The sequence below is a fragment of the Homo sapiens genome, chromosome 11 (assembly GCF_000001405.40).
Source record: "Homo sapiens chromosome 11, GRCh38.p14 Primary Assembly".
In the NCBI taxonomy this organism is placed as follows: domain Eukaryota; kingdom Metazoa; phylum Chordata; class Mammalia; order Primates; family Hominidae; genus Homo; species Homo sapiens.
In genome coordinates, this window is record NC_000011.10 from 38,655,359 (window position 1) to 38,679,392 (window position 24,034).

General features: G+C 34.5%; 1 long non-coding RNA gene across 5 annotated transcripts in view; it reads left to right on the top strand.

Annotated features, from left to right (window-relative positions):
- Positions 1-24,034, top strand: part of LOC105376635 (uncharacterized) — a 41,273-nt gene that overhangs the window by 8,883 nt on the left and 8,356 nt on the right. For 3 of the 5 annotated variants that reach the window (NR_188554.1, NR_188552.1, NR_188553.1), the window contains 2 exons: positions 8,504-8,625; positions 11,239-11,499. This is a non-coding gene — a long non-coding RNA (uncharacterized LOC105376635). Of the gene's footprint in view, positions 1-8,503; positions 8,626-11,238; positions 11,500-20,651; positions 20,876-22,990; positions 23,222-24,034 lie in introns of those variants that run through there. The other 2 variants (NR_188550.1, NR_188551.1) reach the window with 1 other exon arrangement.

The following is a 24,034-nucleotide window of genomic DNA, read 5'->3' on the forward strand; positions in this document are numbered from 1 at the left end:
TTTTTAATGCAAGATTTTTGCTCTGTACTAGTTTAAATTTTTATGTTTGAAAGGGAGTATATTGTTCTTATTCTTGTTGCTTTGTTTTGTTTTGCATTACAAAGCAATACATTAAAAACACCCTTTCTATTCTGTTAGCATAAAATCATCCAGAAAATGGGTGAGGTAATAGCATTAATGGGACCTTTTTTTAAAAAACAGGGGATTATGCAAGGGACTGTGTAAATAATGTCACTGAATTCTACTATGGCCTTCCAATGTGAAGATAATTAGCCTCCCATACCACTGCCCTTCTGTACAGTTAATAAAACTAAAGGTCAGGGAGAATAAGCAATTGGTTCAAGATGATACACATTAGCATTTGTGATGTTAAAATTTGAATTCAAGTTCCTTTAAAACCAAAGATATAATTTGTGTTTTCCGATTTCATTGCTACCTTCCCCAAAATTGCCTTTCTTTAAACAGGGAATTTTTTTGCCCTTAGGGGAGAAGATACAGTTGATTAAACGAAATATAGAATATTGAAGAGCCAAATACATCCACCTATACCACACTGTTTCATTAGCCACCAGCTCACCAAATTCTATTTAAAAAGGATTTCGAGGAATTATAGATTTAAGTAACATAAATATCTTCCCACTTAAATATTTTTCAAAATATGGAACCATTCAGAAGATATACAATACAGTTGATAAAGATTTTCTATCATATCTAAAAGTAATGTATCCATTTGGAAAAACCACCTACTGAAATGTAGAATAAAAATAAAACTTAGCACTGGCTTGTCAACTATTTGAATTTATTTTATCCAAAAAATACTATGTTATCTCAATCATATTCTTTGAAAATGTATGCAAGTATATTTCAAAGTAAGTCCATACAGACAACTTGTATGGGAAAAGTAGAAAAATAGATATATGAAAAGGGAACAATGTATTAATAAATACAATACTGGTAGCATTGCAAAAACTGAAAAACACATGACACTCTTCTTTGTATCATACAAGTTTGTTATTATTCCCAGTCTTGAAAATTTCAATTCAATTCTAGTACTTAATCTTTCACATGTCTGAAAAAGTTGCACTAGATATATGTAAAAGGAGCAGAACAGTCTACTTTTTGCTTTCTCAATATACATCAGGCAAATGGGATGTTGCCAAATGTCATTTCTGCAGCAAATACTCTCTACACTCTAGAGTAGGATTCACATTGTGGAATTTCAAAAAAACGGTTGGTGGTGTTGGGGGCGGTATATATTTTTCTTAGAAAACTGCTCACATTAATTACCTTGTGAACATTTCACTATGAGTTTCAGATTGTTTACTGACAAACTACAAGGGGATGGTAAAAATAGATGGGCTAAGCAATCCAAGACTTCCAGCAGTGAAATTCCTCTTTGGAAATTTATATTATGTTTTAGATTTGCAAAATGATATTTTTCGTAACAATAAAATAAGTACTGACATTAATTTTAAAGGGGAAAAATTTCAAAAGGTGTAAGCTATACTTGGGTAGATAAAATGAAATATAAGCTAAAATTTATTCAACAGTTACTTTGTTCCAAGAACCACACAGAAAACTTTATATTAATTAACTTATTTAGTTTTCATGATGGTCCTATAAAAAAGCATGGTTGGTTCTATTTGCCTGTGAGGACATTTTATTTTCATTTCTGAGAGGTAATAACAATACAAATAAATAATTAGCTCAAGTTACGTATACTCAGTCAATAGTCAGAGACATGATACAACTTTCCCAGGTAGTAGAAGCCAGAGCTGAAATTAGAAACCAGGTCTGCATCCCCACAAAGTCATGCTGCTTCTAGGCCAGCACACTTACTACTTATCAATATTTCTGATCATTTTGATTGACATATTCTGGTATCTAATAGCTAATATGGAATGTATATTTGAAAATGTGATGATAGCTTAATAGGACCCTAAATAAAGTTTCCAAAAATAATTCTATGCTGCATATTTGGGATTTGATGGTATGCATAATGATATGGAAAGTATAAGAAGGATAAAGGCAACTTAGTCAATGTTCTAAAAACATCTACAATGGTTTAGTTTCTTAAGGATGTTATTGTTGAATGATAAATGTCAACATTACTCCTTTGCAATGGCAAAATTTTGTAAAATCAGTAAGAATAGTTGTCCTTTATATTTGCATTGACATTTACTGAATGAACCACAAATTGTATAGATGGGAAAGGAGCTACATCTGAAGGAAAGAGCTATTTCTGAATGGATTTGTCATCCCAATTTTAGACCATTCTGACCAAATGCTTTGAAAAGTTGTTCTCATTTCAACAGTGTTTGTTGAATTACTCAGTTAGGGCTTTACAATCCTTAGCACCTGTATTTTATATATTTTCACTAGATTTACATGATTTGAAAATATTTTCAACTTCTGAGAATATTGTATTTGTCACACAAAAATAAAGTGAAGCAGAGCTAAGAAGCAGAACTATTTCACCAACCCTTAGGATTGTTGTTTTCATTAGGAAATAAAATCAAAATGGGAAATGCACCTTGCATAGCTTCTTTTTTCCCAAAAAGCCATTTTTATGCAATTTATTTTTAGTTTTGACAAGTGTAATATTACCTATCGATACATTTCCATAAATATCTTTGATGAAAAATTAAATCTCTTCAAATAGTAAATCACTATATAAGATAAATAAAAAAGTAACTGGATCAAATGCAATAGTTATTTCAATACAAAATATCTTGCTTATAAATGGGTAAAAATGTTACTGCTAGCATGACTTTCTGTGAACAGTTAAATAAAGCAGCTGCTCAAGAATTTGAAATGCCCTCAGGAGCCAACATCTTGATTACAAGCACTCATAATACCAACCTTATTATGCCCAAGAGCATAGTCACGAGAGCGAACTAGAGTTTACAATACATGAGGGTTCTAAAACCTTCTGATAACCTAACACCCATGGTAGGAAGACACAAGAAAAGAAGTCAACACCATCTAAGAAGATTCCAGGAGCAACTCTTCAAATAAATGATTGGCTCTTTGTAAAACCATTTGACTGTATGATACAGAGATAGATCTTTTTTTGAGGTCTTACGATAAGAAAATAACAACCTAGGGTTTGGGTTTGATTAGGCAAGGTATTTTGGTTGTTTGTCTCAAAACAATATAATTGATTTTCCAGTATACCTAAGCTGTACATGTTGTGCCAGGAATATGAGGCAAATAAGAGGGGTATAACAAAGAAAACATGTTTCTTATTCAGAAGCCAGAAAAATTAAGAATAGGCAAAGAAGCAGAATGTTTGACAGATCAGGATGGGTGCATCATGACTGAGTCTTTTTAAGGAAATAAAATATCTGAACATAAAAATGACAAAATTATAGCTAAATGTTAGAAAAACTAAATAAAGATGGAGTTAGAGGAACAATTTTAGCTACGATTTATTAAACATTTTCTATATGCTATATATTGTGCTAAGCATTTTATCTATGTAACCAATTTTAATCCTCTCTATATTAGTTTTCTAGTCAAGTAAGTCTTATTTAGTTTTAAGAAACACAAGTTCATTTATAATAGTTTAAATAAAAAAGGAGAATTTATTTTAAAGGTACAAAGGACATTTCTCAGGAACTACATCTGGATTCAGGAGCCAAAGCATTGGGATCTATATATATTTACCCATCTTTCATTACTGCATATTCTATTTCATGCCAATTCTCCTTGTTATCCTCTACTTTCTCATTATGTACATTTTTATATTTTCATTTTGCAAACACTTATGTAACACTTGCTTTTAGTCCCTATTCAATCCTCATAATAAAACTATGAAGCAGAGACCATTATCTTCACTTTATAAATGTAAATACATCACAGAAAGGTTACGTAGTTTGCCCAAGTTGGTCTAGCTAGCATAAGACATGCTGTGATTCAAGCCAAGCTGTCTGGCTTTATGTTCTTATTCTCCCTGCCTGCCCAGTACCATTGCATTGGCCAACGGGAACACCAGGCCAAATCCACTTTAAAACTGGACAGTCCTCCCATATAGACTTTACACTCTGGGACTTCCAGCTCAAATACTTGAAAGAAAAGAATACTAACAAAAGATTACTGGACTTTAACTTTGGAATGGAGGTGAGACACAAATACATAAAAAGGGGATGACAGAGTCTGTAACTTCTAATAGTCTTTGCCAGTTTGGGGAAACACCAAACCGATATGGTCCACATTAACTCAGCCTGGGATCTGTTTGTAGTTAAAATATTTTAAAATTCCAATTAATGATATAATTCAAAATAAATAGCATAAATTGTGCAGAAGGTAGAACCCTTTGTAAAGTCACATTTGTTCATTACTGGCCTTAACATAGAATATGAAATAATCGGGAAAAAAAGGTAAAATATGACATGCTTACAAAGTTTATAGACAACAGAGGAAGGCAGAGAGGGAGAATTCACAATAAAAATATTTTAAAAAATCAGTGTTCATTGTGTAAATACTATAGAGTATGACATGAAGCTGAGATGTGTGGGCTATGAGACCAGATTGTCTGTGTAAGAATTTAGCCTTGGCTATTTAGCCTTGCAAAGTTATCTACCCTCTGTATTCTTATATATGCCAAATTTACACATAAATGGATATGAATGATGATGCTTACTTTAGACGGTTGCTGAGAGGGTTAATGTGGAGACTCTGCATAAAAATACATTAATGTTAAGTAGTCACGACAAAAATTAAGATATTTAAGGCTATGTGGAATTCCAAAGTGAAACAAACAATCTGTTGAAGCTTTTGTTAAAATGCCTATTGTGGCAAGTTAGATTGGTAAGGGAAATGGCAAAGAAATAGTGTTGGGGATGTGAAATTGGATTAGATAACCCCATAAAATATAAAATCTCATTGACTGTTTATATAGTTTTCTATAATAAGTTTTTAAAATAAAAAAACGATCTACTGCAAAAGAGAGAAAAAATATTCATATAATCAAATATTTAACTTACTTCAATTTTTCTATGACAAAGCAAATGTCTTTTGTCATGCACTTCCTCAATTATGCACTAACACAATAAGATTTAACATAATTGTCTATTGTTCAAAAGTAATTTTTCAATTAACTCTACAAAAAGAATGTGTTCCAAAATTAGTAATTTAATTTGACTCAAAATTTTATTTTATAATAAACTCTATTTATAATTTATGATAAAATTATATTTGAAAAAACTCCAAGTACTAGGGTTAGTGTTTCTACCACTACAGGCCATAACACTGGATATTCTTTCTTTGAATTCATGCTTTCACATTTTATTTGAGTTTTCAATCTGCTTCCTTTGCACAGGTTCTCTGGGCTTTCTCCAAGTTAGACTGCAAAATGGAAATGAACAAAAAGAAATATTATGTTTCTAAGATGCATGTAAAAAGAGTTGACAGTGGTTTACAACAGCTATTGAGTCCACATCAGGTTGTAGGGATGGCTGAGATTGGAAGGGATATAAAATCAATGCAAAAAATACAACGAGTTATCAGCCAATTCTTCTGTATTCGTTATCTATTGCTGCATAACAAATTACCCCAAATTCAGTGGCTTAACACAACACTAATTTATTATCTCCATGTTTGTATGAGTTAGGAACCTGGGCATGGCTTATTTGGATTCTCTGATTCATATTCTTTCAGAAGTCTGTAATGAATCAATGTGTCAGCTCAGGGTCTACAGTCCCAGCTGAAGGCTCAGCTGTAGAAACATAGAGTTCCAAATTTAATCGACAGAATTGAATTCCTAAAGGGCTGTTGGACAAAGGGCCTCAGTTCTCGATGGATTTTGGCTGGAAACCACCCCCAGTTTTTTGACGTGTTGACTTCTCTTGTGGTAGCTTGCTTTTTCAAAGCATGCTAGCAAAAATGGCAATAAAGAGAGAATGTGCCATTCAGAAAGAAGTTGCAGTCTTTTGTAATTTAGTCATACAAATTAAATCTCAGCACTATTGTTGTCTTTTATTGGTAGCATCAAGTCACTATGTCCAGCCCACACTCAAATGAACAGATTCTATAAGGGCATTAACACCAAATGGAAAATATCTTTGGCAGCCATCCTGGAAGTCTGCATACAACAACTTCCTTCACATTATTACATTGTTATTGTTGTGTCTCTCATTATGAAAATATTACCAATCCCATACCATTAGCTCACCTACTCCAGCCCCCATTCCATCATAAACTGAAGATGAGAGCCACATCCAATGGCATTCACCTGTAGTCCCAGCTGCTTAGGAGGCTGAGGTGGGTGGACTGCTTGACACCAAAAGTTCAAGGCTGCAGCCCACGATGATTGTGCCTGTGAACAGCCACTTCACTCCAGTCTCCTGGGCAACATAGCAAGACCCCACCTCACAAAATATTTCATATATATAAAATACATATGTATATAAAATACATGTGTATATATTTATATGTGTGTGTATAAATATATACCAGAGAAGGGAATATATTTTTCTAAAATTGTTACATTTTATATATTTCTACACTTTATTTCTATTTATGCATGAGGGCCTCAGAAATAGTAATTTAACTAATTTTATTTTAATTCTGTGTTTGATCAGTCTTTATCTTATTGATACCCTCAGCCATATGTAATTCAGACCTTCTAATATTCTCCTGCGTTGCTCAAATGAAAGTAAGATTCTATTTTGGTAAGATTCTATTTACCTATGTGAAAGTAAGATTCTATTTACCTATGTGAAAGTAAGATTCTATTTTGGTTTTGAGTTATAATACATTCAGCTTGCTGCCTGGGTTGCTAATGAGAAGCTGACTCCTTCTGGAACAAAGCACTTCGATAACACAGAATTCATATATTATACACAACTAGTATTTAGCAGCAAGAGACACAGTTTCCCAGTGAGTTACATAGTCCACATATGCCAAATGGCACTCCCCAACTTGGATTGAAACCGCAGATCTCCTTTTCCAGATTACTAAACTCTGACCTGTTACGGAATGAGACAGATCTGAATTAAATCTCTGAGTCAACAACTTTCTAGCTTTGTGACCATGCCCTGTAATCTAATCTCAAAACCTCAATTTTCTAACATGCAAATAAAAATATTACCTGCTTTTTAATAAAACTTTTAATTTTTGTTGGATTAAAAGGTATAATTTATATAATGTGCTTAGCACATTATTCAGTAATTTAGTTATCATCTTTTTAACTTGATTGTGCCATATGCATGATTTCTCTCCTTTTATTTCTGACCGATTTGTTTTATTTTGTTTCATAATATTATTGTAGTAATTACTATTCAGAGATGTACCTTGGACTTTTGTTTTATTTATTTAGATTTTCTGAAGGCTCAGATTCCTCAGAATTAAATAAAGCTGATTATTATATTTATCAAAGTTTGCTTAGTATTCATATTGAGCATTTACTGTGCATTAAGTTCTTTCCTGGCTTCTTAGATACACAAATAAATAAGACATAACTTCCGCACCACCCACTATTGCAGATATCAGTAGACATTAATCTCTAGGGCCATTTCTGGCCTTAGAAAGAAAGCATGTTAGAAGCTCTTTTTAACTATTCAGAAATTCAGCATCAGATTAACTCTCCTTCTGCCCTAAATTTATGTAATATATATAGTCATATATTACAATACATGTTTTATTTATATCTTAGCCTAGTAACTTCATCTTAATATTTCTATGCCTATAACTGTGTTATGATAATGTCTCCTAAAACTCAGTTTCCTAGTTTTGTAAACTCCTTTCCCACACAATACATTTTGACTTGGTGCTGTGTTGTCATCTAACAGGCCTCTTTGAAACCCATAATCCATTGGAAACTATAAATGCTATTTGCATGTTCTTCTTACTCCCTAGATAATCTTTACTTATTGCAGAAAATCATGTCGGCCAAATTGCAAAATAGAATCAGGAATTTATTTATAAAATTCTAATGCTCTCTTTCAATTTCCAGCTGAATTCCATGTGAATCAAGTTCTCTTATGTTTTACCACTATATAAGTGGAATATTCATGTATCATATATCGCCAAAAAGTATGGTTAACAGTTATCTTTGATGGAACCATTATTCAGGACAAACATTAATTTCTAGATATATAATATAAATATCAAGCTGACATTGAACAGTTTTAGTCCAACACATAGAGACCTTTATGTTGACAAGTTGAGAAGAGGGAAGTTTGTACTAAGAAGGTATAGTGTTATGGCACAAGTTTATCATTACTGTTAAAAAATCAAATGCCTTTCTTAAGGATTCGGCATTCAGACAATTACAAGTCACAAAATTCAGAAACTCGTTTTTGTGGGTCTTCATGAATGAAAAGGAATACTTTATTAAAACCTGAGCAGGGGCTGTGTCGGTACTCACAATCTGATGCTCTAACATGTTTGCTGAAATCATCATGTTATGTATTATCAGTTTCAACATGCAGAAAGGGAAACACTTTGTACATAACATGCATGCTTGTATTGTTAATTTGCATTTTGTCTTTTTCCACAGCCGCTCTACAGTAAGGTAAATAAGTCATTTAGTCAGGAACTCTGCACATTTACCTCTGCATTTATCAAATATTTGTTGAAGGAAATAATAAAAGAAGTGAGGAGGAAGAAGAGGTTTCCTGGGTAAGAACTGAAGGAGGTGAAATCTAGATGTTCTGTATTTTTTAGCCTGCAATTTAACCTTATGATTCTTATGCTCTCTTTTGCCTTAGATATGCATTTCTTGCCTTCTCTTCTTTGATTTCACTGTCAAGGTATAGTCTTGCCTTGAATACCATTTAAAATATCAGAATTATAAAAAAACTGTAGAAAGTTTTCTTTCTACATTCTAAAGACTCTCACAGTCTAACAATTATTAGCTCAAAGAGTCAGTAATACGACTGTATTTTGCTGAGCTTCTTCTGATTTCTCAGTCTTATAATGAACAATGTCACTGAACAGTCCCTTGGATTTCTTCCTAAGCACCCATTTGCTCTTCAATAATCATAGGAACCTTAGTTTTGTAAACACTGCCATGTAGATAATTTGAGGAAAGCAATGGAAGGCCAATAATATGAGTCAAACTAACGACAGGAGAAAAACAAACTTGTTCTGAGAGTCAAGACTCTGGAGTTCTTTTTGCTGTCTTTTTCCAATCTGTATGCCTTGAATATGGCACTTCACTCATTGGATTCAATTCTGTAATCATTAAGGGGCTAAAACGGTCAACCACCTTGCATCAAGTTTTATAATGAGGAGGTAGTTAAGATCACCAGCTCTTTGACCAGAGGGCTTTAGTTCAAATTCTGGCTCTAATGTATATTATATAAAACAAGTTTCTGTCTTTTAAAAGAAAATACTTCTGTTTAATTTCAGTTTTGTCACATGTGTCATGGCATAAATAATAGTTTCTAAATAACAAGCTGATGTGTCATTTAAATGGATAAATATATTGGAAGCTTATACAATGGTGCCCGCAACAATGCAAATTCTCAATAGTGATTAGCTAATGCTTCATTAAAGACATTTATTTCTCTTATATTTTTGACAAGACTTACTTTTTACAATTTCTACTATTTTCAGTAGTAAGACGTTACACAGAAAACATAGTTTCTATTCAAAATGGCAGCCCTAACACTTTTTGAATGCAAGAATCATTTTTTTAGAAAAAGTATACTTGCTTAGTGTAAATTTCATTAGCTTTTTCACATGTAATGTACAATTGTGCCAAATCACTTCATCCTGGTTATTGTCCTCTGAAATACAGTTCAGGTTATCAATGTTTTCACAAAATTGTGACACAGATCTTTTTGAATATGGACACTCTGTTGCACAAAATGATAACAGTTAAATTGCATATTATTTTTTTGAACATCATTCTTCTACTTCAAAATTTACCAAACACCCTTTAGACAGCTACTTAGGACTTTTTTTTTACATTGAGCAGCACTTTCACTTATCTTTGCTGTCTTGCCACAGAATTTTCCCTGACTGACCTCACAACACTGAATTTTTTTTTTTTTTGCATTATGTCTAGAATTGCGGTTTACTTTCCCTTTTTTATTACTTCAACTCTTAAAAAAGAAAGTCTTTCTACATGGTTCTTTATATATATATGTATATATATATATACATACATATATATGCATATATATATACATACATATATATGCATATATATATATATACATACATATATATGCATATATATATGCACATACATATATATATATGCTCTGAAATTCCTTGATTGGCTATCTTTGTATTTATTCTTATTTTAATTTATAGTATTTGTTCTGGTCCTCAATCCCAGCAGGCGGAGGTACAGAACATGAATTTATTCATGCAACCTATTACACTGATTGTCCTTTTAAGTCCTATGCTATATGAAATTTAATAAATGAGCCATCTATATATTAAGAAAAACCAAAAATTTGTAAATATTATTGGTGATACCAAAAGCAGAAACCTAAAGCAGTCAAATTACCTTGACTAATTATTAACTATCATTATCTGCCATTTAATAACTTGGGAATATCTGCTGTGTGTTATAGGTTATAAAAATTATTATTATTATTATTATTATTATTATTTGAGACTGACTCTTGCTCTGTTGCCCAGACTGGAGTGCAATGGTGCGATCTCAGCTCACTGCACCCTCTGCCTCTGGGGTTCAAGCAATTCTCCTGTCTCAGCCTCCCGACTAGCTGGGACTACAGGTGCACACCACCACGCCCGGCTAATTTTTGTATTTTTAGTAGAGATGGGATTTCACCATACTGGTGATGCTGGTCTCAAACTCCTGACCTCAGGTGATCCACCCACCTTGGCCTGCTGGGATTACAGGCGTGAGCCACCACACCCAGACAAATAATTATTTTTGTTTTGTTTTGAGATTTTTCCTGATTCAGTGTTTAGATGAAACTCTTATGCTGTTTTACCCTTAAAAGTATGCATAAGCTTGTTTTTTAAAAATCATTTTCAGAAGTAATTGTAAAAATGTGTTGTATTTGTAAGGAAAATATTCCTCATAAATGTGGGGTCAAAGAGTAAGTATGTAAAATTCAAGTTGAACACTTTTAGTTTTTAAAGTCTCTGCTGGGTTTTATCTACTTTTTTTTTGAAATTATTCTTGAGGTAACGAGAAAAAGGCCTTGTCACAAACAAAGGCAAAGGTAAAAGAATGCAATTTTCATTGGGGGGAAAGAAAAAAAAGAAAAAAAGCTTCTCTGAATTCTGTGTCCTTGCCTGTTTTAGGAGAAAGCACTCGAGGAGCAATAGGTGTCCTCTTTCATTTCCACTAAATATGCTGCTCAATGCCTTGTGGCATAACAGAATCAAAACTTTTCAGATGCCCTGCCGCTTTAACAAGACCCAGGATATGTCAAAATGGCTCCCACAGAACTTTCATTTGATCTTATCTTTCGCTGTCACACACATCGACCTGCATTTTCTTTTTTCTTTTTGATTCTTTATGTCTGCAAATGAACTGATGTAATTAAAAAGGTGAAGAAATAACTCTATCTGGCAGGGATGTTTATTGCTGGGTAGCCTGACTTTTTCTTGCCAAGGTAATTGACTTTGCTTGTGATATCATTTATTTTCTCTTTCTTTTTGAAATCTGCAACTAAGTATTATATTTCTCTTAATTCTGACACGAAAGTTACATTTATATTTATGGATATAAAATTTATTAGGGTCATGAGGCATGGAAGAAAGATGGGGGTTCAGAGTAATACACTGTTTCTTGAGTCCTTTCTATGAACTTGCCAATGTACTTGGTGCATTATATACATTATCTCACATAATTGTAAGAGATACGCAACATCATGGTATGTATTACTGGTGGATAAACAGGCTTAGAGGAATTAAATCTTGGCCCAGTGTGGTTAACAGGTTAACTTGGGATTTGAACATAGATTTAGGGGACTCTATAATCCATTCATTTTTTTTTTTACTTCTTTTACTATGTTTTCACCTTAAAATAATCCATACATATGCAATACATTTAACTTACAACAAACTTATCATTGATAATTATTAGATAGCGAAACAGGAAAGTTCCCTGATTCCCATCCCAGGGCATGCGACAGAGGTGTGGCTTGCCTGCTTGGTCACCCTTTAGCTCAAACCCCTATGGGGAGCATACAGATGGGCAGATGCAGAGGCCGGGTCGGCACGAGCGCTTTTGGGCTCCAGCCTCATGGCAGCATCTAGGGCTGTATGTCTGCGACTCCCGAAGCACGAGTGGGCATGTGTTACAAAGCTCTTTCAGATATGCCATCTGCAGATGGCTTGTGTGTTAATCAGCTCAATTGACCCTCTGCCTTATCTCAAGGGCAGAGGGTCAGTGTGACAGCCTTCTGTATCCTGAGCTTTTGCCCAGTATCCTGAAAGAATCAGATCACACGCTGGCTTAAAGGATGAGTGCAAATTTGTATTGAGGGGTGGAGGTGGCTGTCAGCGAGGTGGATGGGGAGTTGGAAGGAGTGATGCGGGGATAAGGTCGTCTCCCCCTGGAGTCGGGTCTCCCAGCAGCCGGACTCTTCTCCAACTGCCCCCGGCTGAATTCCCCTCAGTGTCTAAACGTCCCTCCTCTTCTCTCTTTCTCTGCCGCTTTTTTCCACCATTGCTGGTCTGTTGGTCTGCTGGTCTCGATGTTCAGCTGCTTGTGTGTTTGTCTGCTAAGGTCTGGGGTTTATATGGGCACAAGGTGGAGGGCGTGGTGGGCCAGAGATGTCTGGGAAAAATGCAACATTCGGGCACGAAAACAGGAGTGCTTGTTCTCACTTAGGTCCATGCGCACAGGGCCTGAGGTTGGAGCCCTGGCCAGGAACCCAACTCTCCTCTACCCAGCACTTCCCTGCCCCCTCCTGTATCAATAGTATGTCAAAAAGGAATAACACCTAATGACATTTATTTATTTATTTTTTCACCAATAGATCATCAGGTGCTGTGATAATTTATGTCCCTAAATAAATTTCTGATTATTTTAATGTAAAGATATAAAGCATGTAGATCTAAATATGTGACTCTTTCCTTTGCTATTCTTTATACATAGGAAGAGTATTGCCATTGTGATTGCCACTGGAGCTGCTTACCAAATATATCTGGCTCTTCATATTCCAATCATATAATGAATTCAAAGTCTTTGGGGGTTAGGTTGCTTTTGGCCATATGAGATTAAGTGATAAACGCCATTTCTAGTTCTAAAGCTTTAAAAAAAAATAGACCCCATTTCACTCACTCCATCCCTTTCTACTTTTGTATGATTATTGGCAGTCAGGTTGAGATAAAGTGTTTTTTAGCCTGGGCTGCTGGGTAACTCCAATGAGCAGACATCCCTTTTAAGTTGGGATAGCTTACATTTTGCTGTAGTAATTAAAACCTTCCAGATGAGACCATCCATGGCTTAATCCAATAAAGGATTATTTCTCACTCATGCAAAATACTCATGGGCTCTCTAAGGACTCTGCTCCATGTTTTAATTATTCTCCATCTGCTTGGACAAAGAGATAACACCAAATATCTATGAAAAGCCCTAATGCCAGTCACAGCCTCAGGCCCATCTCCTTGTATTAGACATATAGCATAAGAAGAAATAATCTTCTATAGTGTTAATCCAGGGAGGTGTTGGGGTTGTTTGTTAGTGCAGCAAAATCTAGCTTAGTGGGATCCAAACATTCATCAATAAATAATTGGTTAAGAAATCACGGTTCACATTAAGTGGCAGTTACCAATCCTAGGTACACATTTGAATTACCTAAAATGTTTGTAAGAATACCAGTGCTGGGTGCACCACTCACCAAAATCATCAGAAACTTACAGGCGGCCTAATCAGGGTCTAGGCCTTGGTGAGAACCACTGAAATATGCTATTGAATATTTGGCATACGACACAAAACTGTAAGCAATGGTTTACAGTCACACCTATTATCCTTAAAAATCTATTTCAAATGTAAAAGCAAGTTCCAAAATGCTTTGATATTTACTCTACAGCTATGTACCTATATTTACTTAAACATGCAGAAAAGTTAAAAATACTACACTACAAAATGTTACACATGTTTACTTCTGAGAAGTGGGTAGGACTTTCCATGACTTATTAAGAGTAAAGAAAAAGATTGTATATTACACTAAGTTTTACTTTTTTCTAAGATTTTGCTGCTTATTTTCTGTTTCCATAATCATAACCTTGTATATACAAGTAAACATTTTATGTTAAATTTAAATTTAAAGGACAAAACGTCACCTTAAAATAGAAAAACATGTCATATTGCTGTACAAACAAACAAACAAAAAGTAATGCTTAAAAGATGTTGACTTTCATCAGAGTAATTAAGAAATGAAAACATCAATATTCCTAGATTTTTCTGGGGATAAGCTGGGGAGCATTTAATTATTTTAAATTTTGTCTAGAAGTATTGAACAAGGATGTTTAAAGTAAATTTGAGAAAGGAAGATGACAAGAGGGAATGTATTCATCCTAAGTTAATAAAACTTTATACGTTTAGAATATTGAAAAGTTAGGCTCAGCTGCAGGAATAAAAAGATCATCAAAAAGAATATACCAGGAATGTCTGTAACAGACTCAAAAGTATATAGGAATATGGAATGTGGCAAAAGTGGCATAAGAAACTTAGTTTTTACTCTATACCATAAACCAAAATAAAATTCATGAATATTCAACATAAATGTGAAGTAAAACATATACAATATAATAAATAACAAATAGAAATAGTGCTCTCATTTGGAAAAAGAAAAAGGCTTTCTAAAAATGGAATCACAGAGAGAATCACAGAGAGAAGTAGACAGTTTACAAACTTATATAAATACAAATCCAAAATATCTGTCATTCTATATCAGAAATAATAAAGACTACCAGAACCCTGGGAAATTTAACACATTTAAGGAAAGCTTTATAATTTCAATGCATAAAAACTCCAGATAAATTTATTAGAAAAGTTTAATGGATCAAAAAATAAATCAAAAAGAAAGAAAAGGCAAATAGTTGAATAGACAACTGACCAAAAAAAGGCAAGTTAATTTTTTTAGTATACGTAATGCATTACTTTGTATGGTTTAGGTTCCAAATATAGCAATAAACTAATGAACATAAAAGAATCTATGTGTTTCAAGAGTATGAAATTCTAGTAGTAGGAAATAAAATCAATAACCAAGTCCATTATGGGATAAATGTAATGCTGAATAATAAAGTGGAGTAAGAGAATTAGGCCATATGGTTTGCAGTTTCAGAGCTGCTCGTTAACATGGGATGCTCAGAGAAATATATGTGAATGAAATAAGGCCATGAATCATGTGGACAAAGCATTTTCCAGACAGAAGACAAAAACACAACATTAAATGTGTTTAGTAAGTTTCAGGGACAATAAGAGGATGCCCGTGTGATGGAGCTGAGTTTAGGGAAACAGCAAATGGTAAAAGTTTTGGAGAGTTGAGAAGAGAGAAGCTGTGAAAGAGTCATCCAGGACAGAAAAAGCATGAGTGAACTTGGAACTATAGTGAGATTGCCAGGCTATACTAAAGAATGGCAGTACTTAGCGGTCACACTTCAAAAGTGAGACGGTATTTTCTTTTTTCACCTATGTTCACCTGGAGACCTAGAGAAGGTAGGGTTCAATTAAATGAGCTTTGAGGTTTTCTAAGCCAGAAAAATAGCAAGAAAAAAAACAAAAGATGAGCGAAGTACTTGAGATTGGAGAGGTACTGGACTTGCAAATGACCAATAAATAAGAGGAAGTATTGGATACAAGTAAAAATCATAATATAAATTACCAAAATATTGATATCAACTTTTCACTGAGTCATCTGGGATATCATCATATTTGAAAATATTAGCAAAAGATTTACAGAGTAGAAGAAAGGAACACTTTCATAAACTACAACTGGTTTGATCTTATTATATAACATTTTATAATCTATATCTAAATTTTTAAAATGTTACTCAGTTATTTCACTGCATTTAGTGTATTGTTATTTTACCAAAGGAATGTTTATTTTAATATTCCATGTATGTGGAAAAATATTAAAATACAACAATAATAATTTTCAAATGGGGTACCCTAAATGTCCAAAAATAGGTGATTGAATACATGACTTCGTATGAATTTATCCCTAGTTGATGACTTAGAAATAAGTTCATATTTGTGTGTGTGAGTGTATGAAAAAAATATATACACATACAGCTTATGCTCATAGATAAAAACACACAAGGGTTTTAAATATTTATTGATGAAATGAAAATAGAGCATAATAATATGATTATATTTTTGCAATTATTTCTATGTATGTTATTCATACATATATGTGTATGTTATATTTATATATTTTTGTGTATATATGTGCATGAAGCTACATGTATGGTTATATAAACATTTTATATGTAAATTTGTTTCCATATACATGTATATAAATCCATACATAAATTACATATACATAAATACACAAATTTACATATATATATTTGACACTATTAAGAATATTTATCATGATTCAAGAATGGTAAAGGGGAGGGTCTACTGCAATGGAGTTTTTTAGTAGGAGAGAGAGAGAGATGAGGCTCAATTCTGAATACAGCAAGGAAAATTAGCAGTTACAGCCAAAGAGTAGGGTGAGGGTCAATGGATTGAAAATTACTAACAGGAAAATTCAGGGACAAGACGAGATTCTGGGCTAAAATGACCTAACAAGACTCTTGCTGAAAGCAGGCCAGAGTGATCAAACATCACCAAGGGAATGGTGGAACATGAGGAACCTGATCATATATCAAGGGTGATTGTATATTGAGGGTATGGGATTCTGGCTAACCTGACTTAGCATGATTCTTATTAAAATTTGATAAATAAAACCACCTTTGCAAAAATTATAACAGAAAATTACGATAGTGAAGTGATCTGACCTAACTGATTCCATCTTTCTTCTAACCTCCAAGCTGTCCTAGTTCATTCCTGGGCATAGGCTGAACTAACTGTGGAAGGACCTTACTTTAATAGGTTAACTTTGAAACCAAGATGGTAACAGCCCTTTCCCAAAACAGAACCCCTTCCTACACGGGGACTAGACTGTCTTTGCAGGACTAACAAGTTAACTATAAGATTAGAAATTATGATTTAGGAGTCATGCAGCTGGAGGCTAAAAGATTCTGAACCTCCCTAAATTGCTCCTAGGGATAACATCACTATTGCAAAACCTAAGATCAGTGCTTGAGATATTTTGCAGACCCTGTCCTCAATGGATTACCTGACACCACCCAGAATGATAAAGCTATCCTCTTGCACTGAGTCAGTTCCTGGGTGAGTAAAACTGGCCCCCACCCAGGAGCTTACTTAGCTCAAGAGGACAGCTTCCACTCTCTGTGATTTTATCTCTGGCCCAAACAATCAGGACTCCCCACTTTCTGACCCCCCTACCCAGCAATTACCCTTAAAAACCCCAGTCCTTGAGTTTTCAGGGAGACTGATTTCAGTAAAAGTAAAATTCCAATCTCCTGTACAGCCAATTCTGTGTGAATCAAACTCTCTCTATTGCAATTTCTCTGTCTTGACAAGTTGGCTCTGTCTGGGCAGCAGGCAAGGAGTAGCCATTGGGCGGTTACATAAACAGAGATGAACACAGAAACCTCAAAGTCAGAGCCTAAAGTTCAGAAAAGCCTGACTAAAGTTTGGTTAATGAGAGACTCTTTGTCAATACCTATATTACCAGGGTGATCCAAAAGTTTCAATGCAAATAATGTGCTGCTTTGATGGTTTTAGAAGGCTTAAATTCTCTGGCTGGAGTTTTATGATTGGTAAAATGAAAGTGAAAAATATCTTATAGATTTGTGGAAATGATTAAATAGATACGTTACTTAAAGAAAGCTCCTGTCATCCTGGCTCAGCCAGTTACTAATAGTGTGACTTCAATCAGTCTTTGAGAATCAGTCATCACTGTAAAATCCAGACTTATCATCTATTCTGTGAAACTGTTAATAGGAATGAGATAAAATATATCATCTGTTATAGTGTTATGGAGTAATTCTTAAGTAGTGATTTTCTAATCAGCTTTATCAATTTCCAATATTAGGTAGTTTCTTTTGAATTTCATGATGGTTTTCTGAAGTTTCAAAGTGTAATGCATATAATATACACCCATTCCTTATCTCACTCTTTTACCTTTTTCTTTTACTTAGACTCCAATTTCCAATTTGCTAATAATGGCATACGTTCTTGGATCCCTATTTTTCTTAGTATATAAACTGTAACTAGGTGAATAATTTGATTGACCACAAAGTCTAAGAAGGAATTTTGTTTCAAAAAAGCATACTGAGCAAAAGTGCAGGACTTCCAAATGGACTATGTGAATGTTTTTTCTTTCTCTCCTTCTCTCTTGTCTTTCTCTCTCTCCCTCCCTCCATCCCACCTTCTCTCCTTCTCAACTTTCCTCTCTCCCTGTCTTGTCTTTTCCTTCCTTCCTTCCTTTTCTTTCCTTCCTTCCTCCATCCCTCTCTTCCTTTCTTTCTTTTTCATAAATTAACATAAGTGAATATGAAGAAGCATAGACCTCCTAGACCCTTCAAATACCCAAAACAACAGGGCATGGCCAATTGTAGCAGCAGAAAATCTATTGCCATGTATGGCAGGAGGAAGTATTAACATTGAGAAAAGGAAAAGTTAAAAAAGAAAAGTCATTTAAGTAGAGAACACAGAGAATTTTAATTTTATTTGTTTATTTGTTTTTATTTTTAGGTTTTTTTAATGTGTGAGATTGGAAGAAATCTTGTGAGTAATCATGAATTTTAGGAATCCCAGAAGGGAGCAAAGAAGATTCTGAAAAAAAGAGAAATACTTCTCTGAGTTGGAAATTGGTTAAATTTAGTGATGTTTGAGCCTCAGCTTACATTGGAAATCACTAACTACTTTTAAATTACTTTTGGTTTTGGACCCTGTTTCTTGCTCTGGGACTACACAAAAGGACTGAGCCAAGACAGGAGCAGGAATTTGGCTTGCCATTTATTTAATTTATATTTTATTGTCTGCTAAAAATTGAATGCGTAAGTTCTAGTACCTTGCCGACTCATTCTAACAAGGCTGCTATATTACTGCAATTAGAATATAAATAACCAATTTTATATGAGTCATCATTCTTGAAGTAAAATCTCAAACTCAAAAATTATTGAAGAGGCAATTTCTAGGTAAAAATTGGAATAATGTTTAAAATGTATATTTTGCAACTAGATGGTAAATGTGAAAAATAAAAATTAAGCAAGTTAATTTAATTAAGGAATTTTTTAGTTTTTTTATTTTTTAAGAAAAAAATTAAATGACCATGAGAAGTTGTAAAGAGATGAACTCTTTCATGCAAACACACAGTTTCTTAACAAGTCATGTTCTTTTTGGATGGCATGAGGAAAAAAATAACAAATTTACTCAGATTAGTTCAAGTCCACTCTACCCTTTTGCAAAGACTAACTCCACTAGAAAATTGGATATTACAATAGAAATTGTGATTACAGAATTTTGGAAATGTGAATCAGTACATCGCATTTTTTCTTATACCATGGGTCAAATAGGAAATAATAATTTTTATACAGTCCATTAGAGTATATGGGCAAAGTGGCTTCAGCCTGAGGCAACAAGGCTGCCTATAGCTAAGAGCTACCTCAGAGTTGCTCAGCTCTTTCTGAGGGCTGAAGGGAGCAATGTTTTGGCATATACTAATCCCTTCACAATAATGGTTCAGAAAGTTTTCTTAGGGTAGGTCCTAGAGGTATTTGAAGAAAATAACATGCCCAAGTTGAGGAAAATAAGATTTTGAATTATGTTAAATTTTGCTACTAGCATCATTCATCATTAAAAATTTATAGCATGGTATCTAAAGAGACACCTACAAAAATCATCCATGGACTCAAAGTCATAATGATATAATGATTTCTGATATAGTTTGGCTGTGTCCTCACCCAAATCTCTGCTTGAATTGTAGTTCCTATAATTCCCACACATCATGGGAGGGACCCAGTGGGAGGTAATTGAATCATGGGAGTGGTTACCCCCATGCTGTTCTTGTGACAGTGATTTCTCATGAGATCTGATGGTTTTATAAGGGGCTTCTCCCCCTTTGTTCGACACTCATTCTCTCTCTCCTGCCACCCTGTGAAGAGATGCCTTCTGCCATGATTATAAGTTTCCTGAGGCCCCTCCACCCATGTGGAGCTGTGAGTCAATTAAACCTCTTTTCTTTATAAGCTACCCAGTCTCAGGTATGTCCTTATATCAGTGTGAGAACGGACTAATATAATTTCCATTTTTATGAGGACTTTTTTCCTTGTCTCCCATTTATGTTTTTACTTTGTAGTTGTTCAGGAAAAGAAAAGAAAAGTTGTTTTTCTGTCCAGTTCAGATCAAGAAAATTTTATGGCAATATTTTTAGAGGGTGAGAAAGAGGAAAGCTTGATGAATGAGAAACAGGTTAAGTCCATGCAGAACTTCTGTAGCAAGATTTGCTATACAATCATGTATTTTTTTAAAGAGAAGGATAACATTGGAGGGAAATGTGAAGGATAACATTGGAGGGAAATGTGAATTACAGTTATTTGTGAACTTATCTGAATAAAGACAGAATATCAGGCAATGAAGATTATGAATGATTAATTTCACATCTACATCATTGGGCCAGGTTTCAGAGCAAGATAGAAGAGGAGTACATCTCAAATGCTTTTGAAGTTACATTTCCAAAGTGAGGTCCCAGCTGGAAGTATAAATGGTTCTCCAATTTTGCAGATGGAATTTTATCCAATATTCAGATGTATAATCTGCTTCAAGTATGTACACAGGGGAAGTAATAAGAGTACTGTGAATTCTCAACTGACCATTTTCTGACACATTAAAGAAATAGCAAAGGTAGGGCAAATTCGATAATCTACCTGAACTTCCCAGAAATTGGGGAATGTAAGATAATCTCATGGAAGTGATCACTAATTAAAAAATGACTGTTCTAGGATACCATCTTGTTTTATTTTTTCAGTTGCTTTATTCAATGGCTGTCAAGTGAGAAGGGATTAAACTCTCACTGACATGTCTCCTTTCTCCCTTTCCCAAGTTTACAAGAGCGTTATCTGATAGATACAGCAAACCTGAGCTTGATAATACTCCAAGAAATGCTTAAAGGAAATTAGCCTTATCCCAGTAGTACAAAGAAATAAACAGGAGAGGATTTGCCATGCAGTATAGAAACCCATGAGTCAGATGAGTAGAAAAAATTCCTTCTCACGAGGTTGTGTGCACAACTATCCATGAGGAACACAGGAAGACCAGGAAGTAGAGGGTCATCCTGGAGAAGCCAGGCAGTATCCTTAGGCAGGGGTGGGAATACTTGTAGACAATCCTATTAGGGACATAGCACAGCTGCAGCACGTCATAGGGGGATAAAGAAAGAGGAAAGTCAGGCAGGTTACACTAGATGCATTTTGTTGTGAGAGAATCTCTGGAGCAACCATGGACTATGGCAGACCAGGGATTGAGAAATAAGATTTTAAGAATTGAGTCTGGGTGCAGTGACTTATGCCTGTAATACCAACACTTTGGGAGGCCGAGGAGGGAGGATCATTTGAGGTCAGTGTCTCTGTTTTTAACAAAAATTAGACAGGTGTAGTGGCAGACATCTATAATCCCAACTACTCGGGAGGCTGAGGCAGGAGAATCACTTGAGCCTGGGAGGTGGAAGTTGCAGTGTGCCAAGATCGTGCCACTGCACTCCAGCCAGGGTGACAGAGCGAGACTCTGTCTCTAAATAAATAAATAAATTAGAATTGTTGCTCTGGTTTACTATTGTAGAGGAGAAAGGTAATATCTTTTTCCCCATCCATCACGAAGTTTATGGCTGCAACCTCTATGTCAAACGACAAATTAATAAGAAAACAACACACAAATTGTTTTAATATATATTTTACATAATACGGGATCCTTCAGAAAGAAAGACCCAAAGAAACATAGAAAAATGAGTATTTTTATGGACATTCATGATTGGAAGACAAAAGGGTAGGATCTAATGATAATAAATGGGTGGGAATTTAGCAAGGTCTTTTGGTCAGATTCTTATTGATGTCTCTGTGTCTTCACAGATGAGGACACTCCTTTCCTCTGGGCATAGGGAGGAATGCTCTGGAATGAGTTTTATGAGCAACTTCCAGGGGAAGGTCAGCTAGGACTTATGACACACTTCAGGGAAGAAGGGGTCTCAGAGAGATCTTCCTGCCTCTGCTATTTTCTCAGATGCCAAGGTGGTGTATTTTGGCAGCACTTGTCTTGAACCTCATTACTTGAACCTCTTTAAAGGCTCTTAAAGATCTAAATAATAAGTGCCTTATTATTATTTTTGTTTACTGTAATGTGTATTTTTTAAATGATTCCATGAGGGACCAGGTCCAGTGCAGTTCTAGTGTTTTCAAGTTATACAAACACCCCTTCTAAAGATATTCAAATACTGACCATTACTCAGTCAGCAAGGAAGGGCCATTCAGAGGTTTGATAAAAATTTCTTCTAAACAAAACCACAACCAGAAATGTTATCTAGGTAATCTCCAAACCAAATCAAATTAAATTAATGTTAGTGCTCAATAATTGTTAAACTTAGAAAACAAGATATATGCCTTTATAAATCCTTACATTAGATATGGTCTATTCCTATACTTCAATGTGTAAATGTAAAAACTCAGATATAAAGAAGTAAATTATTTTTACATATTTAATGGTCAATGTCTTGACATAGTCATAAATCAGAGTCTTTATGGAAGTCTTTTTACTTTTAGCAAAATTTTTAAATAAAACTTCTCTACTTCTCTCCTATAGCTATTTTTCCTGTTAGCCTTTCATTTTTCTAGAAAGCTAAACATTCTGATTCTTCTTTCTAGGATTAATGAACCTTCAAAAAGTTTGTTTGTACTGTTTACATTTCAATTTATCAACAAAACTTTAAGCAAGTTTAAAACATAATCAAATATGTCCTTTCATTTTCAGCACTTATCTCTGAAGTCTCACTTTTTAAATATGTTACAATGAATTGTGATCCTGTTTTATGTATCTGACTGACAGCACTGGGAATTAAGTTCCTCAGCCAATGAAATAATAAACCCAATGCCACGATAAAACCTACGGTAGAGACTGATAAGGACTCCAGATCCAGGCTGCTAATACTCTTCAAAGTCATTCAGCTGTGGCTACTACATGATGTCTGAGTGTTTCCACAAGGTATAAATCATATGGTAGCATATCGAAGTTATCCAGTTTAGCCATAATTAAAATTTCTTCTTGCTGGCAGTAGAGGAATTCCCAAGAGCAAGGTATGCGTATACCCCTAGATAACTTTTAATCTTATTGGGCAATATTTTAGACAGACAAATAGAATATGTTTTAAAAAGTTCTAAAAGTTAATGTTCTGATTAAATTTAGAGTAAATCAAGATAGACTTCATGATGAAATCACCATCTGCTTTGTAAATTGCTGTGTAACCTGGTTCATATGCAACTCTCTAGACTCTTCCATATTTCCACTCTGTGTTTGACATTTCAAAAATGCTAGACTCCATGTTGCTCCAAGAACTCAGTATACTATTTTACACCTTCTTGGCCCTGCTCTTCCTATTCCCTCACCTGGACAGTTCTAGAACTTGTAGAGGTTTAAAATAATCACTCATGTTTAGTTTTATTTTCTTCTGGACACAGAGGAAGATTTGATGTTGCTACATTCTAATATGGTGGGATGGGGCCATGCAACTAGTTCTGGTCAATGGGTCATGGTTCAATTCTGGACATTTAAGTGACAAGAGGGGGTTATACATCTCTGCGTAACATGTTTAGTTCTATTCAGTGCATTATGAACAGAAATGACATAATCGAGTAGCGATGAAATGGCATTTTTAATTGACAACCCCATACATCCAGCTTTCTTGAGAATGTGTATGTTAAAATGGAGGTTCAACAAGATCAATGAAGCCTGGAATCTGAACAACCACATGATATACCACTGCTCTGGAGAATTTACCAGACCCATGGCAGATGTTGT